We start from the raw sequence: 15,969 nt of genomic DNA, 5'->3' as shown, positions 1-15,969 counted from the left end.
AATGACTATTTGAAAAAGAATACGCAAGTTCTAACTAGGTGCCGTGGCTCACGCCTGAAATGCCAGCACTTTGAGAGGCCAAGTCAGGCAGATCACTTGAGCCCAGGGGTTCAAGAACAGCCTGGGAAACATGGCGAAACCTCATATCTACAAAAAATACAAAAATTAGCCAGGAGTGGTGGTACATGCCTGTAGTCTCAGCTAGTTGGGAGGCTGAGGTGGGAGGACCACTTTAACCAGAGAGGCGGAGGTTGCAGCGAGTTGTGATTGCACCACTGCACTCCAGCCTGGGCGAGAGAGAATGAGACCTTGTCTCAAAAACAAAAACAAAATTTCAAGTTCTGTGGATTTGTGTAAAAAATAAGTCTTACTTTGGAATCATGCTTCATTTATATAAACCACATATAATTTCTTTCTATGATGTTTTTCTCATTTAAGAAAATGGGGTGAATTACTAAAATGTATAGTTAAAAAACAGGCTTCTAATAAATTTTGTCTCTATAGCAGGGCACAAAAATATTTTGTCCATTTTTTCCACATCAACATTGCCATGTCTGGAGAATGTTACTGTAAGAGTAATAAAATAAGATTGAATTTCATAACTAATCTTTAATCCTAAGAAAAATTCTCCACTATTACCACTTATTTTCACTTTCTTGAAACTGTAAGATAATCTTAATTTTTAAATAGTCAAGAATTCTATATATTTATAAAATAATCTGACTTCACATATATATTTGACCTTTCTTCAGAAAAAAAACTAATTTTTTAAAATAAGAGAATAAAGTTTAAAATGTATTTTTAATTAGTACAGGGTTACTATGCCTACTTGCATAATTACTAATAATAGTTTTAGATGACCCATAAAAACCTGTTTTCTTTTTAAGCATACTCACAGTACTTCGAAGTTTATCCAGAAGCAAATTTAACTGTGTCTGTGAAAGAAAGGAAATCAGTTTATTATTTCAAAAAGCCAAAGTACACAGTGTCATGAGTTAATATTAGCTCTCCAGTACTGGAATAAAATAACATGCAATAACATCCAAATACAACACATTCCAGTTTAACAACCTCCTGGTACACAAATTCTTTAACAGACAGCATCATGCAAAATGGCTAATGTAATGCAAGAACAATAACTTACACAGAAGTTGTATAATTAAAAGACTGAAAATTAGCAATATTAAAAACATACACACATATTTGCAGATGGAATGAATGAGGAAAAAATGTACAGGCAATGAAGGAAGTAAATGAAAATAGTGAGGATGCATTTAATAAGAGATCAATAGCACAGTCTTTGAATGTGGCAAACTGTAGTTTGTGTCACACACATTAGGAATGAAGACATGTTTAAAATATACACTAATAGTATATATTAGGATTGTTTTATGGAACACTTAGTGTAAACAAAATTGTCCTGCCTAGCTATAGAAATCCTCTGTAACTTTTTTTTTTTTCTTTTTTTGAGACGGAGTCTTGCTCTGTCGCCCAGGCTAGAGTGCAGTGGCATGATCTAGGCTCACTGCAAGCTCCACCTCCCGGGTTCACGCCATTCTCCTGCCTCAGCCTCCCGAGTAGCTGGGATTACAGGCGCCCACCACCACGCCCAGCAAATTTTTTTGTATTTTTAGTAGAGACAGGGTTTTACCATGTTAGCCAGGATGGTCTCGATCTCCTGACCTCGTGATCCACACGCCTCAGCCTCCCAAAGTGCTAGGATTACAGGCATGAGCCACCGCACCCTGCCTCTTTAACATTTTAAAACATTTTACATTTCAGTTATTTTTAAATGCTTGGACAATTTTCTCAAAAAAAATTGACAATGAACATTACAAGTTACTATGCTTTCTTGTTTTTATAACATTGATTATGATGTGGTGTGGTTCAGTGTATTAAAATCATTTATTTGCCTTACTACTCTGCAAAATAAGTTAATTATGTAAAATTTTTCTATCTGGATTTTATACTGAGGTATTTATTAAACTACTTACAAAAGACTAATGTTAATTTTTAAACTAACATTGTATTAATCATAGCTATAATTAGTAAGTATAGTTTACTGAATGTCATCTATAAGTCAGGTACTGCTCAAAGCTTTTCACAGGAGTTATTATGTTTAATCTAATTAAGGATAGAACATGACAATCCAAGGAAATAAATAACTTGCCCGAGGTTACGGAGCTAATAATGGCAAAGTCATGATTCCAACATCGGCCTGACACCAAATTTCATTCTCCTGTGAGTGATACTATTACAGTATACATCACATATACTGAGAAGCTTAAGTTATTAAAATGGAATGGATTTGTCATTGAATTAAAGAAATACAGTTGTATCCCACTTATCTCACTGACAGAGTTCTGACAACCGTAATCAATCTGAACCACCATGCCTGAAAAGTATTAAAGTGACTAATTTGGAAAGAAAATAACTGTCGCAAAGTCCAGACTCCTTCATCCACAGACTAAGCACAGTATTCTCCAAAAAAAAAAAAAAAAAAAAAAAAAATGGAGATAAAGTCAAAAGAACAGAAGCATCAAAATAAACTCTTAGCAGCTGAGAAAAGAGGGAAGAAAGTCAACTATCAAAGAACAGCCAAGGACCATAAGGCTTAAGAGTAAAAAGCCTCAGGCAACTCATGCTTTATTTGTATTTTTATTTGAAAACATACAAATATTCTTATAATAGAATTATGTTTCCATCAAAAAGGATGACTTTTTCTAAAACACTAACAGTAAAGGGTTTATGTTTCAATAACCTGAAAAAGGCACTTTCCAATAGAAAATTTCTGGTTTCCAGGGATGCTGGATAACTGAAGTATTGCTGTAAATGATAGCCTGTTTTGTGTTTATTGCCTTATATACTTCAATTTTAATTTAATGAGCTATTCTACTATATTTAAAACTAGGAATCTATTCCTATTTCATTTCAAGGTATCTCAGAGAAAAACGTGAAATATTTTATTATTAGTATCATTCAGCTATCACTTTCAGTGGCTTAATGTAAAAAAATACATTGTATTAAATATAAGCAATTATAAGAAGTTTCAAGGCTCAACATAAAAGATTATGTAATCCAAAGAAAAACTGTAAGAATGTCTTTATTTATATTTTCTAAAATTTCAAGTATGCTCTTATCAGCAATACTACAATAATATTAGAGTAGGAAAATAGTGAATGACATCCATTTCATATAGGCAAATATACTATTTTTAAACCAATCTGCTATCAAATGTCGATTCAGAAATAGAAGAATACTCAAATAAAAAAAAGATTGTTCACTGAATCAGAAACTCATAATAATGAATATAACTTATAACAAAATTCAAGGCTTTTTATTCAGTTACCTAAAAATGTATTATGAGGTTTTTCCCTATATTTATGTTTAAGCTTAAAAAAAAACTAGCTCTTATAAATATTTTATCAATTTAGTTATTTAGAGCCCATTTCAATCCAAAATAAATTTGGGGAGGCTTATATTATCAGTACCATAACATTCAGACACTTAAATCTTTTTCCTAATTACATTATTTTAAATATTTAAAGTACATATAGTGAAAGGCAAATGTAGAGTTTTATTATAAATATAACAATAATACTCTGTAGAAATATATAAGAAATTAATTCTCTCGTATACATTTTTTGTTCTACATACTATAGTTTGTCATTCATTAAACTCATAACTTCACAAATTTTAACATTTTTTTTCTACACTCCTCAATAACTAGAACCAATTAGTAGTGTTCTAAGACAAACCCTGTGCCATTCCATGTCAGACCTTGAAGAATAAATTCCTGATCCAAAATTAATAAAACAAATGAAATATTCTTCCATGTTAAATAAGCAGTTTGAAGAGTTTGCCACACCTAAGTGCTTATCTTTAACAGAAGTTATTAAAAGCTTTAATCAAATTTTAGTGTAATATGCACACCCAAAATGCCATTGTGAGAGAAACACATTGAAAATGAATTACAAACTGAATCATTAACTTCAGATGGGCTCTTTTTAACATGGCAGCCACTTTATAAATAGGAGTCCATGAAGGCGATCATTTACCTGAAGCCCCTGGCTGTGCCTGCTTTCCTCTCTCAACTCAACTAGTCCTCTCTAGCCATCCCGAGCTGGACTACTCCAGCTAAAACAAAACCGCTGAATGAGGAAGGAAACAGAAAACACATGGGAAAGAGAAGGTTTGAAGGTCAACCAGACAGTATGCAGAAGCAAGAACATTAGGAGAGGCAATCAGATATGTTAAGAACCAAGAATGAACACATTCAGATAATTACAAGCATTTCTGTATGTTCAATTACTAGGCCTACATTATGATATTTTACATACAAATATCAACAATGCAGGGTCTGCTCTTGAACTTCACTGTGAGATTTCTGACAGTGATCTACATTATCCATTTTAGAATATAAAACAATAATTTCATTTTAAATATAGTAAAAAAAAAATTAAATAACACAAATACCTTAAACTTGTTTCCCACGCTGATGAAGCTAAGTTTTCCTGCTTTTTGTTTAGTATCTTTGTTGTTATTTGTGGATGATTCAAATAATTCCCGTATAAACTTATCTCTGGATTCACATATTAAGGATTCAAGAGACATATGTAAAGCATCATTATTTTTCTCCACAAACTGGGTCTGAAAAATAAATCAAACAGGAATGTTTCTGTCCATCTTGTGATAACATCACTTAACATGGCTCTGTCCAAAGGAACTTTCTGTGATGACAGAAATGTTCTGTATCTGCACTGTCCAACGCCGTCACCACTAGTCAGTGTGGACACTGGGCACCTGAAGTGTGGCTAGTGTACTGAGGAATTGAACTTGTAATTTTACTTAATTTAAATAACCACGTGAAATAATTAATAACCACGTGACTAGAAGCTATCATACTGTACAGTGCAGCTTCAACATGAAATGGTTTTCTCCTTGTAAAAGTTATACTCACTGTTTCATAGCACACTGCCCCCGCAAAATGCCTGATAATGAAGCCTTCGTCGTCTCTGATATTCCTATGAACTGCCAGCTTAGATTTTCTGGGAATCTGAAAAACAATACATATATGAGTTATTAAATGATCAAAAATATATTACATAATCATTCTTTACAAAACAACTGAGATGTAAAACACTTAAAATTATACAGGAAATTTTCACACTTTTCACAATTATACTGCTTTTATGTATTGAGTATGCCTTAAAGTATCAATAAAATCTAGCAAATATTTGGTATAATCTCTTAGGAAAGAAAATAGGTGTAAGACACACACACACACACACACACACACACACACAGAGACAGAGACAGAGACGGAGAGAAAGAGACCCAAAAAAAAACACAATTTAAAAGAACATGCTTGTAATAAAAAAATTTTTTTTTAAAAGCACATGCAAAACCCAGTTGGCATTTTACAGAGTTAACCACCTATTTCTAAAGCAGTGGTTCTCAACCTTGGTGCTCTATTAGAATTACCTGGATAACTTTTTAAAATCTATCTTTATCACGTCAGATGAGTAATGTGCCAACACATTAACAAGGCTGAGGGAGGAAGATCGCACACATGAGCATGAAAATCCAATCATCAGGCTTATGAACTACAAAAGGATCAACCTGGAGAACTTTTAAACATCCCAAAGCCCATACCATTTATATCAAATCATTTCCATGTGCAGCCAGTCAAAGAAACACCTGACATCAGCAAAGGGACTCTCCTACCGTTTCAAATAATATAGCCTAACATATTTACACAAGGAGCCTGAATCTATTTCAAGAAAACTAAATCATTTTAGGTTGTACCATTTAATCATAATATCTCACATGTATATCATAAAGTTTCTAAAATGTTTTCACTTACAAGATCACATCTGACCCTTGAAATAACCTAAGGGTAAGAAAAGTGATGTTGGGCTAGGTGTGGTGGCACACACCTATAATCCTAGCACTTCGGGAGGCTGAGGCAGGCGGAATGCTTGAGTTCAGGAGTTTGAGACCAGCCTGAGCAACATGGCAAAACCCCATCTCTATAAAAAATATGCAAAATTAGCCAGGCATGGTGGAGCAGGCCTGCAGTCCCAGCTACTCGAGAGGCTAAGGTGGGAGGATGGTTTGAGCCCGGGAGGCAGAGGTTGCAGTGAGCCAAGAAAGAACCACTGCACTCCAACCAGGGCAACAGAGCCAGACCCTGTCTCAAAAAAAAAAAAAAAAAAAAAAAAAAGACATCATTTAAAATTGAGAGTCTACCGCCATACCACTCTCAATGCGCCTAATCTCATCTGATCTCAAAAGCTAAGCAGGGTCAGGCCCAGTTAGTACTGGCCAGGCACGGTGGCTCATGCCTATAATTCCAGCACTTTGGGAGGCTGAAGCGGGTGGGTTGCTTGAGCTCAGGAGTTCAAGACTAGCCTGGGCAACACAGCAAAATTCTGTCTCTACAAAAAAAAAAAGAAAAAGAAAAATCAAAAAAATAAAATTGAGAAAACTGACTTGGGAACCTTAGAGGCTTGCTCAAGGTTAAAGAGGTAGCAGAACAGAGAGGCTGTTCCCTGTGGGAGGCAATACACCAGGACAAGTCAGAGTGCCGGCTCTGCAGCCAAAGTGCCTAGCCTGACTCCCAACCTACCATTTCTTTACATGCCATATTAGGCATGTCACTTAACCTCTCCTTGTATGTCTCATCTGTAGCATACACATCTAACAGGATTAAATAATTCAAGTAAAAACATTAGAATAGTGCCTGCCACATCTAAGTGTTCAATAAATGATTATTTTATTTATTTTCAAAAAATACAACAAAAGGAATAACCTATATAAAATAGGATTTACTGCTTTACTCTTGTTCTTGGTTGACAAAAGCAGCCAAGGTCCATTCTTGATGCTTCAGTTTACTGTCTTTTAAGTCACATGCCTCTGAGACACTCGTGACAATTCTGTTGACTAGCAATTAGTGCCCCTGGTAAGTCACCTGCTTATGACTCTAGGTGCCAACTCCTGGTAAAGGTAATCATGCATCCATAGGCTGGTCATAACAAAGACCAGCGAGCTATTAAGGAATAGGATTGGATATATATCTTCAATTTTAGCAGAAGTTTTGTTGAGGATACATATTGTTTTATTTCTATCTCCACTGAAGTAACAGAAATAGATTCCACATTACAAGAAATATATAGGGATACAGAAGAATTGCAAGTCAATGGAGCAGGTGGATGTGAGATTTTAGTCCCTAGTGAAGGTTAACACAATTACATGAGCTTTTCAGGTAAATCCAATTCACCTATTTACCACTGATTTTGTTAATGATGAATAGAAACAAAACTACTTGTTACCATTCACTTAAGTTTCTGGATTCATCAAAGCAATAATCATTATACTATGTTACAATCTCAAAATAATATACAGTTTGTTTGAGAGGCAATTTTGCCTATTAGTTCCCTAATTCCACTAGGCAACTCTAAACGGCTTTTCTTTTTCACTCTCCTGTTTGTTGTTGTTGTTGTTGTTGTTAATGATGTTGTCTATGAGATGAGGCAGCAACTATCTTTGTGGTCGAAACTGACATCCATTTGTGTGGCTAGCACATTGTCTGTGCTAGCCAGGCTCTTTCTGGGTACAAGGATGGAGCTGTGCTTTTATTACCTCAGGTAACAATGGCTGAATGAAAAGACAGGTTCAGAAGAGGTGAACACAGGAAACATCTCAATAGCCACACAGTCCACCCTCATGGAAAATGGCTCTAAAGACTCAAGCACAGCTCTGCGACCTAACAGCAGTTCAGAAACCAGGTCTTCTGAGCCGGGCACGGTGGCTCACACCTGTAATCCCAGCACTTTGGGAAGCCAAGGCAGGGAGATCATGAGGTCAAGAGATTGAGACTCTCCTGGCCAACCTGGTGAAACCCCGTCTCTACTAAAAATACAAAAATTAGCCGGGCGTGGTGGTGCATGCCTATAATCCCAGTTACTCAGGAGGCTGAGGTAGGAGAATCACTTGAAACCAAGATGCGGAGGTTGCAGTGAGCCGAGATCGCACCATTGCACTCCAGCCTGGGTGACAATAGCGAAACTCTGTCTCAAAAAAAAAAGAAAGGAAAACAGAAACCAGGTCTTCTGGCCTTTTAGAGTGCACCTCTCATTTGTTTCTACTGCTGTCTGTCTGCTTTTCTCTTTACTCTACCTAATCTCTCTATTGCTTCAGATTCAATTTCCCTCTCTGAGTGTATTTTCCACTCAAAACTCCTTAGGAAAGAGGGTCAAAATGAATTGGCTGATCATTATCTAATTTGTATTGCCTGCACCAGTCAAGAGTTCTAAGCCACAACCTTAACTGCTGGTCTTACAAATAAGCAGACAGATGGCTGCTTGCGACTCCGAGTGCCAACTCCTGGAATGTGATTAAGGTCACAAAACAAAGCAACTGATACCCACTTAGCTCAGAAGGGAGACCATGAAGACAGCAGGTAATTCTCATTGTACTTTTATTTTTTTGACACAGGATCTTGCTCTTTTGGCCAGGCTGGAGTGCAGTGGCATGCTAACAACTCACTGTAGCCTCGACTCCCAGGCTCAAGCTGTCCTCCCACCTCAGCTTCCCTAGTATCTCAGACTACAGGCACATTGTACGTATTAGACAGGTGAAATGTACTTTTCATCAGAGAAAAAGTCTCTTGACTACATAAAAATCATATATAAATATCCATCCATCTAAGGAAGATACTGTGCTGGATATAATATAGTTGCTCTATACACGCCATAATTTTTATTCTAATTATCTAGTAATATCTAATAGCTAATGCACCTTTTTAATAATGTCTCGTCCCACCATAGTCTCAATTTCAGAATGGCAAAACTCACAGTGAGTCGAAAATGATCCTTGTGCTTTTGGTGAACTGCAGATGTAAAGTGTTGATCACTTGGCTGGGGAAGGCGATTTTCTTCATCCAAAATATCCAGTATTCCCACTAATTTGGCTTCAATTAAATCTATTTCAAAAAATGAAAACACTCACAATAGTGTAAAAACATAACATTTTAAAGATATGTGAACAATTCACTAATCACAGATTTCAAGGACTGATCAGAAACAACATAGCATGTGATTCTATATGTGTTCTCTCAAAAGTTATAGAGAGCTGACGGATTTTTATTTCAAATCTGGCCGTTTATAAAAAAGTAACAGTATATATTTAATATAGGTTTTAGAAAAGCTACTACATAAAGAAAGCAAATGACTATAATAACCATTCCATTTGTAAACCAGGAGAAGAGGCTAAGGAATTGGAAATTCCTCCTTTTCGAAATGACAGCTATATTCAAAGTAAAGTAAAACTACAGAAACTTCTACATGCATAGCTTTTTAATAATACTTTTAGAAACTGATGTAAACGCTTTCAAACAAAATCTGTAACAACACATTTTTACGCTCTTTCCATTCGTTTGAAATTCCTTCCTGTCCAAAACTAACTATAAAATGTAAACTGCTTGAATACAGTATATAACAATGATTAAGTGGAACAAAGCTATAAGACATAGGAAGAGAAAGATTCTAACTACATTAGTGAGAAAATGATGCTTCTTGGGTAATTAGTGGTAGGGCAGGAGGGGCATGCTGAACTAAGCTACAAATGGGAGTATTTTGATAGATGTAGCATGAGGTGAAAGTGGGCTGAAAGACAAATGGAAGGGGAAGAGTTCCAGCCATATCAAACCACACAGTCAAAGACTCAGAGGTTAGAAAGGGTCCGTGTGTTAAGGAAATGTGGAGTGGACCAAGTGAAATGTGAAAGTGCTTTGAAAATTTATACTGATGTAAAGTAGTATTATTATTATACTATGTTTTTCAAATCCAGCACATCAGTTACTGACAGGATTATCAAACTGTTTTAAAAACAAGGTTTGCCCAACAGTTTATTTTAGAGATGGGGTGGGAAAGAAATGGAAGACTGAAAACTGGCTGTGCGGCTATAGGGAAAGGTTTCTTTACCACTAAAATGAAAGCAGAGCCTCTATTCTCTTGCTGCGCAGTGTTATCTGGCTGTGACACATGAAGCCAGCTCGCAACCAGTTAGAGGATGCTGTCAATGCACAGAATACAGCAGAAACAAGAGAATCACAGAAAAGCAGGGCAAACCCTGACAAACTTGCCTGGAGCCTGGCCTAACTATGGACTTCCTCAGGTGAATAAATGTCTTTACTGACTAGGCAATTAAGTTTCCCCCTTAACCAATTCACATGCTAACTATTTAAATAGGAAAACATCCTTCAAAATAAATAGAAGAGATTATAGAAAACTTCCAACAAAGATACCTTTGAAGTCTTGGTGGAAAAAATAACTTCCAGGCAGTAATACAGAAGTAACCTTCTCTCAAATACCAGTTTCAAGTCATATAACAAGTAATGTCAATTAAAAAGCACAGAAAAAGCACTAAACACATTCACTACATCTTCCTATATTTTTCAAAGGTGGAGTTAAAAAACACATACCTATACAGTCCTGATTATCCACATAATGCACTTCATTAACACCTAAACCTTCTTTTTGATAGAGTTCTTGTTCCTAAAAATGAAATAATCATAATCATAGATACAGCAATACTGAGCAATAGTGAATTTTGCACTGTTTCTGAACATAACATTTGCTAATTAGAATGCAAAGGTTTATACAAACTGGTATAGCCTTAAATGGTTTTCCAAAAACATAACAGATTTTTGAACACTTGCAGACAGGCACTAAAGGTAAGGAAATAGCAATTAACTGCAAATGGGCTCTAATACCAACACAGTGATATAATATATATGATACATCACTTGGGGAAAATAAGTGTAATTTAGAAGAACAATATATGATCAAATTTGAGTCCTCAAATATGTCTTGTGTCTTCTTAAAATTTTTAAAGGGATTTTATCATAGATGGATAAACTATGCAATGAACTTAAGTAAATATGTTTTAACATTGTTTCCTGAGTGTTTAAATATTTCCTCCCATGAGATACTAGAAAAGATTTCTGACATTCTAGAAGGCACTGTCCACTTAAACACAACTCAATTTGAAATTCACATTTATTTTAAAGTATATTAAAAAGGTGAACATAAATCAAAATACAGTCTCCTTTTTACAATATTTCTAGATAAAGTTTTTTGGTAGGTTGGTGTAGAAGGGAAGGATTAGCTTATGTTAAATTAGAGGCATGAAGGTAAAACTTCACATGGTAATAGAACTAATGTGACTGGATAAACGTTTTCAGAGAAATTATCTTACTGGTAAGTACTTGTTTTACCTGTTTGTTTATGCCAGAATTCATTTAACTACAGAATGTAAGTAAAATGTACAAAAGCTAGAATGTGCTGGGAAGCCCACAAAAACATAAACATAATTAAAATGTGGGAAAAGATAGAAAGGATGGAAATAGGAAATAAAATGATTGCACATTTCAGCCCAGATAAAGTAGAAGCAGCTGACAGTCCAAAAGGTGGCATGACAAGGAAAGTACTGCCCAGAGGCACTCCAGGACAATGGATGCATCAAATCTCCTGACTTGATGGCTTTGCTGCCAGACAGGGAAAGGTGAGCCAGCAGCAGAGTAGGCAGAAGCAGAGAGACCTGAAGAAGGGGAGCTACAGTCGGGCATGATGGCTCACGCCTGTAATCCCAGCACTGTTAGAGGCTGAGGCAGGCAGATCACCTGAGGTCAGAAGTTCAAGACCAGCCTGGTCAACATGGTGAAACCCCATCTCTACTAAAAATATAAAAATTAGCCGGCCATGGTGGCGCGTGCCTGTAGTCCCAGCTACTCAGGAGGCTGAGGCAGGAGAATCGCTTGAACCTGGGAGGCAGAGGTTGCAGTGAGCCGAGATCGCGCCACTGCATTCCAGCCTGAGCAAGACTTCGTCTCAAAAAAAAAAAAAAAAAAGAGTGGGAGATGCCAAAGGCAGGGATGCGGGTAGAAGGTTGTTTGGTGTGGTAGAAGTAGAGACAACAGGCCAGGCGCGGTGGCTCACGCCTGTAAGCCCAGAACTTTGGGAAGATGAGGCAGGCAGATTACTTGAGGCCAAGAGTTCGAGACTAGCCTAGCCAAAATTGTGAAACCCTGTCTCTACTAAAAATACAAAAATTTGTTGGGCATGGTAGCCCACGCCTGTTGTCCCAGCTACTGGGGAGGCTGAGGCAGGAGAATCGCTTGAACCCGGGAAACGGAGGCTGCAGTGAGCCGAGATCACACCACTGCACTCCAGCCTGAGCAACAGAATGAGACTCTATCTCAAAAAAAAAAAAGAAGTAGAGACAACAAAATCATAAAAAGAAACAGAGCTTCAAGTCCATTAAAAGTCACTACTAAAAACAGATGTTCACTTCTGAGGAAGCCCCTATTAAGGGTTTTTATCGGGTCCCTAAACTTCAGCTGAACCATTAACACTTCTGACGTGCCTGAGCCCCGGGGCCTCTGCTGGGCTTCCCAGATTCCCTGAGCCACCTTCCGTTATACACCATCCATCCACACCAATCAGGGTAACTGCAGCATATCTCTTCCTTAAAATTTAAAATAGCTTTATGCAGATCTTAAATTAAACTTATAATGGCAATTACCTCCTTCAGAATCCTTTCATTAAAAAATTGTTGAAGTTTTTCATTGCAATAGTTGATGCAAAATTGTTCAAAACTGTTATGCTCAAAGTACTCTGAAAATATAAAACCAGAACCAAGAGTCATTATGAGATCAACTTCATATAAATTTATCATAGGATAAAATGTAATTGTAATAATGGCTTAATTTAAAATTAGGTTAAATTTGTATATTATATATATTTGTTCTATACTTCCCAAATGTTCTCATTTCAAGACAAAACTTTATAGGCATTAAAAGTATTAAAAATACCCTGCTTCAGTTGACAAATAAGGTGTTTCTCAAATGAGATAAATGTTGTATACTAAAAGATATAAAATGTAAGCCACATGTTAACTATTTATTTATTTATTTTTGAGATAGGATCCCTGTCACACAGGCTGGAGTGCAGTGCTACAATCTTGGCTCACTGCAACCTCCGCCCCCGGGTTCAAGTGATTCTCATGCCTGAGCCTCCCAAGTAGCTGGAATTACAAACATGTGCCACCACACCCAGCTAATTTTTGTATTTTTAGTAGAGACAGGGTTTCACCATGTTACCCAGGCTGGTCTCGAACTCCTGGCCTCAAGTGATCTGCTGGCCTCAGCCTCCCAAAATGTTGGGATTACAGGCATGAGCCACCGCACCCGGCCAACAATTTTTTAAAGCACAGGTATTAAAGCAATCTAAATTAAGCACAAAAATTACTTAAAATACAAGTGCTTTAGAAGATTTTTTTCTGCATAATCTGTAAAATTACTTATCAAAAATGCTGTGGATACCAATTCATTTCTAAAATCAAGAGATTATATTGCATGATGTCTAAGATACACTCGGCTTTACAATTTTATAATCCTTTGTATGTGTTATGCTAAAACTGTTGTAGAAAAGGAAAAAAAATTAATAATAATAATAATTCTCTACCTTTGAACAAAAGGTAGAGAATTATAAAGTTTAAAATACGTATTACATCAAAAGCAAAACTCCATCCCTCCCCAAATGTAAACACTCATACATTTCTTTGGCAAAAACCACAAAGAAGACACTACTCCTTCACAGTCAGAAAGAATGCCCACATTGATAAAGCCCAATACAAAACCCATTAGATTTACATTTCAAGATTTTTATATTTTTGTCACTCAGAGCAAAGCAGCATTCACATGCTGGTGACCCATTTCATTTCTGGTTGAACAGCTCTACAGTTGTTTAACTACTTACCTTGATATCTTATTAATTTGATGGAAAATATAGCTACTTGCTGACAGCAACAGCAATGAATTTCTAAACATAGTAATGAGGTTGGCCTGTAAGTTAGGTCAACCTATCCCCAGCTCTACAAATTAGTAAATGGTTTTAGTGACTCTATTTATCTTTTTTTGTTATTTAATCAGTGAATGTATTATCTTTATTAGTAGCACACAAGGATTTACCTTTATTCAGTTGTATTCCTTTTAGAGTATAGAGATATCCTTAACTCTAGCAGTTTCAATCAATGTTTTAATTTTAGCATTAGTATCATCAAAACTAATCCCCACGAGTCTTTCCTCTTCTCTTTAAAGTATCAGCTCCCTATCTAGGTCATATTATGAAATGTGAGTGTGGACATATAATTACACATACATCAAGTAAAATGAGTTACAAAGGAGAAAAGATTTAAGAACAAATTCTAATGTGTGAAAAAATATGAAACAAATATATACTCACAAAAGAAACTCTACTTACCAAAACCAGCAATATCTAGGACTCCAATAAAATAGGATGATGTTTCAAAAGGAAAACACTGATTTACTCTGTTTACCACATGATCAAAAAGATGGCTATACACTGTCTTTGCCAGGGCATCACGAGCATTGTTTGCTTGCTCCACTTTCAGAGGTACCCTATAAAAGAAAACTATGCTAGTAAAAATTCTTTATAATAGTGCACTGTGAAAATGCCACAGAGTGCACCTAAACATACACACAGAGAAGAACAAAATAAAGAGTTACCAAAGGTCATGTGAGAATAGGCACAGATAAATGGGGCTAAGTAGAAAACTGCTACAAGAAAACTAATGGAATTACCTAAAATTAGATCAAAAGTCTATTATTGGGGTAAAAAAAATTAGGCTTAAAAAATCATTTTGACCTTAATTTACATCCTGAATACATACAAAATTATTCAAAGGAATAACCTCCCTTTTGGTTTTCCTTAAATGCAAAGGAAACAGTGTTTAATTCAGGATAACTTTAAAGTTTGGTAACTTCTTTACACTGTTTAGGATAAAATGTTTACATCTTAAAATTTGAACTGTCCCATTCTACTATTTAATATAACTGACTATATGGTATAATAGTATTAAATGTTGCAGGTACAGACACAGAGCCATTGTCCTCAAGAAAATGATAGTCTGATGAAGAGAGACTGGCACAGAAGAGAATTTCCAAACACCATGCTAAATACTATCATAAAGATAAGCATGGGGTACCAAGAGAGCACAAAAAAAAAAAAAAGAAAGTCAAATTTGGAAGTAGAATTATAAGTCATTCAGATCAGCCTGACATTTGATACTTAAGCCTCTCTAAACAGTGATTTCTCACTTATATTTTCTGCAATGGAACCCTTTCTTGAAGTTTCATGTGGACACGCTATATATAGAGTACATAAAAGAGCTGCTTTGGATTCTGGAATGGCATTGATTGAAAAAAGGAAACAACAACAAAAAACTGCTTTGGAACAAGGAGAAAATGGGAAAATGGAGGAAGCAATGCCTGAGAACCACCCACCTGCACATTTATGGGCTTTCCCTTGGGCCGCAGAGATATCTCTAAGGAACCAAGTAACTGTAGGCTGTAGGGTGGTACTCTACAAACTTCTTCCAGAGTTTTTCTTTATAACAAGAACAATTTTGAATTTGCTTAGCAAAGAATCAGGCTAAGCATACCTTGCTAAAATTTTCAAAAGAATAAGAGATAGCCAATTTTCTGAGAGGCTAAAAGCTTTTTCAAAAAATTCTTTGTTTAAATTTGTTGCAACTTTTTCGGAAATATGTCACTAGAGCTCACTGCCTATCTTATTAGTAAGAGATAAAGGGTCTTCTTCCCTCCACAAATGAAGATCCTGCAGTGCCTCAGAATGACAAGGCTGAATGTCAATTTTATTCTACAGTACCAAAACCAAAAATATATAAAATATAGGACATGGAGACAAAAGTATAAAAACATCCAGGTACAATCTAGAAGTTCTTGGTTACTGATTTTTAAAATCTTGGTTAAGCCCTTATTTCTCGTCATTTGTAATTTCTCCCAAATAAAGAATCCTAAACATAAGGAAAGTGTCATTTGCTAAGTATTTTGCTGAAGTGAGATCTGCTTAATAGATGTGT

The 15,969-nt window shown here is 36.0% G+C and overlaps 1 protein-coding gene, 1 non-coding gene and 1 pseudogene across 15 annotated transcripts in view, besides 1 other annotated feature; 1 reads left to right on the top strand and 2 right to left on the bottom strand.

Moving 5' to 3' along the window:
- The window catches only part of MYO6 (myosin VI), a 170,299-nt gene that overhangs the window by 47,956 nt on the left and 106,374 nt on the right, over window positions 1-15,969 (bottom strand). For 13 of the 14 annotated variants that reach the window (NM_001368865.1, NM_001368866.1, XM_005248721.5 and 10 more), the window contains exons 13-19: window positions 14,328-14,485; window positions 12,589-12,680; window positions 10,487-10,559; window positions 8,859-8,986; window positions 4,961-5,056; window positions 4,477-4,650; window positions 897-935 (exon numbers count right to left, since the gene is read on the bottom strand). In NM_001368865.1, coding sequence (NP_001355794.1) covers window positions 897-935; window positions 4,477-4,650; window positions 4,961-5,056; window positions 8,859-8,986; window positions 10,487-10,559; window positions 12,589-12,680; window positions 14,328-14,485 — 760 coding nt within the window. Of the gene's footprint in view, window positions 1-896; window positions 936-4,058; window positions 4,152-4,476; window positions 4,651-4,960; window positions 5,057-8,858; window positions 8,987-10,486; window positions 10,560-12,588; window positions 12,681-14,327; window positions 14,486-15,969 lie in introns of all 14 variants that reach the window. The other variant, NR_160538.1, reaches the window with a different exon arrangement.
- Window positions 5,516-5,618, bottom strand: LOC124901542 (small nucleolar RNA U13). Its single transcript, XR_007059973.1, has one exon. It is a non-coding gene; the product is annotated as a small nucleolar RNA U13 (small nucleolar RNA).
- Window positions 6,247-6,343, top strand: RNA5SP209 (RNA, 5S ribosomal pseudogene 209; annotated as a pseudogene).
- Window positions 7,118-7,287: an enhancer, noted in NCBI's record as "experimental_94611 CRE fragment used in MPRA reporter constructs". NCBI's record gives its function as "activates a minimal promoter by MPRAs in K562 erythroleukemia cells, with activity observed for both the introgressed and non-introgressed 6:76574097 variant alleles {active_cell/tissue: K562}" and the evidence as "EXISTENCE:reporter gene assay evidence [ECO:0000049][PMID:34662402]".

This window comes from Homo sapiens, chromosome 6 (assembly GCF_000001405.40).
Source record: "Homo sapiens chromosome 6, GRCh38.p14 Primary Assembly".
In the NCBI taxonomy this organism is placed as follows: Eukaryota; Metazoa; Chordata; class Mammalia; order Primates; family Hominidae; genus Homo; species Homo sapiens.
The sequence above is the reverse complement of the archived record's forward strand: the minus strand, read 5'-3'. Positions and strand labels throughout refer to the sequence as shown.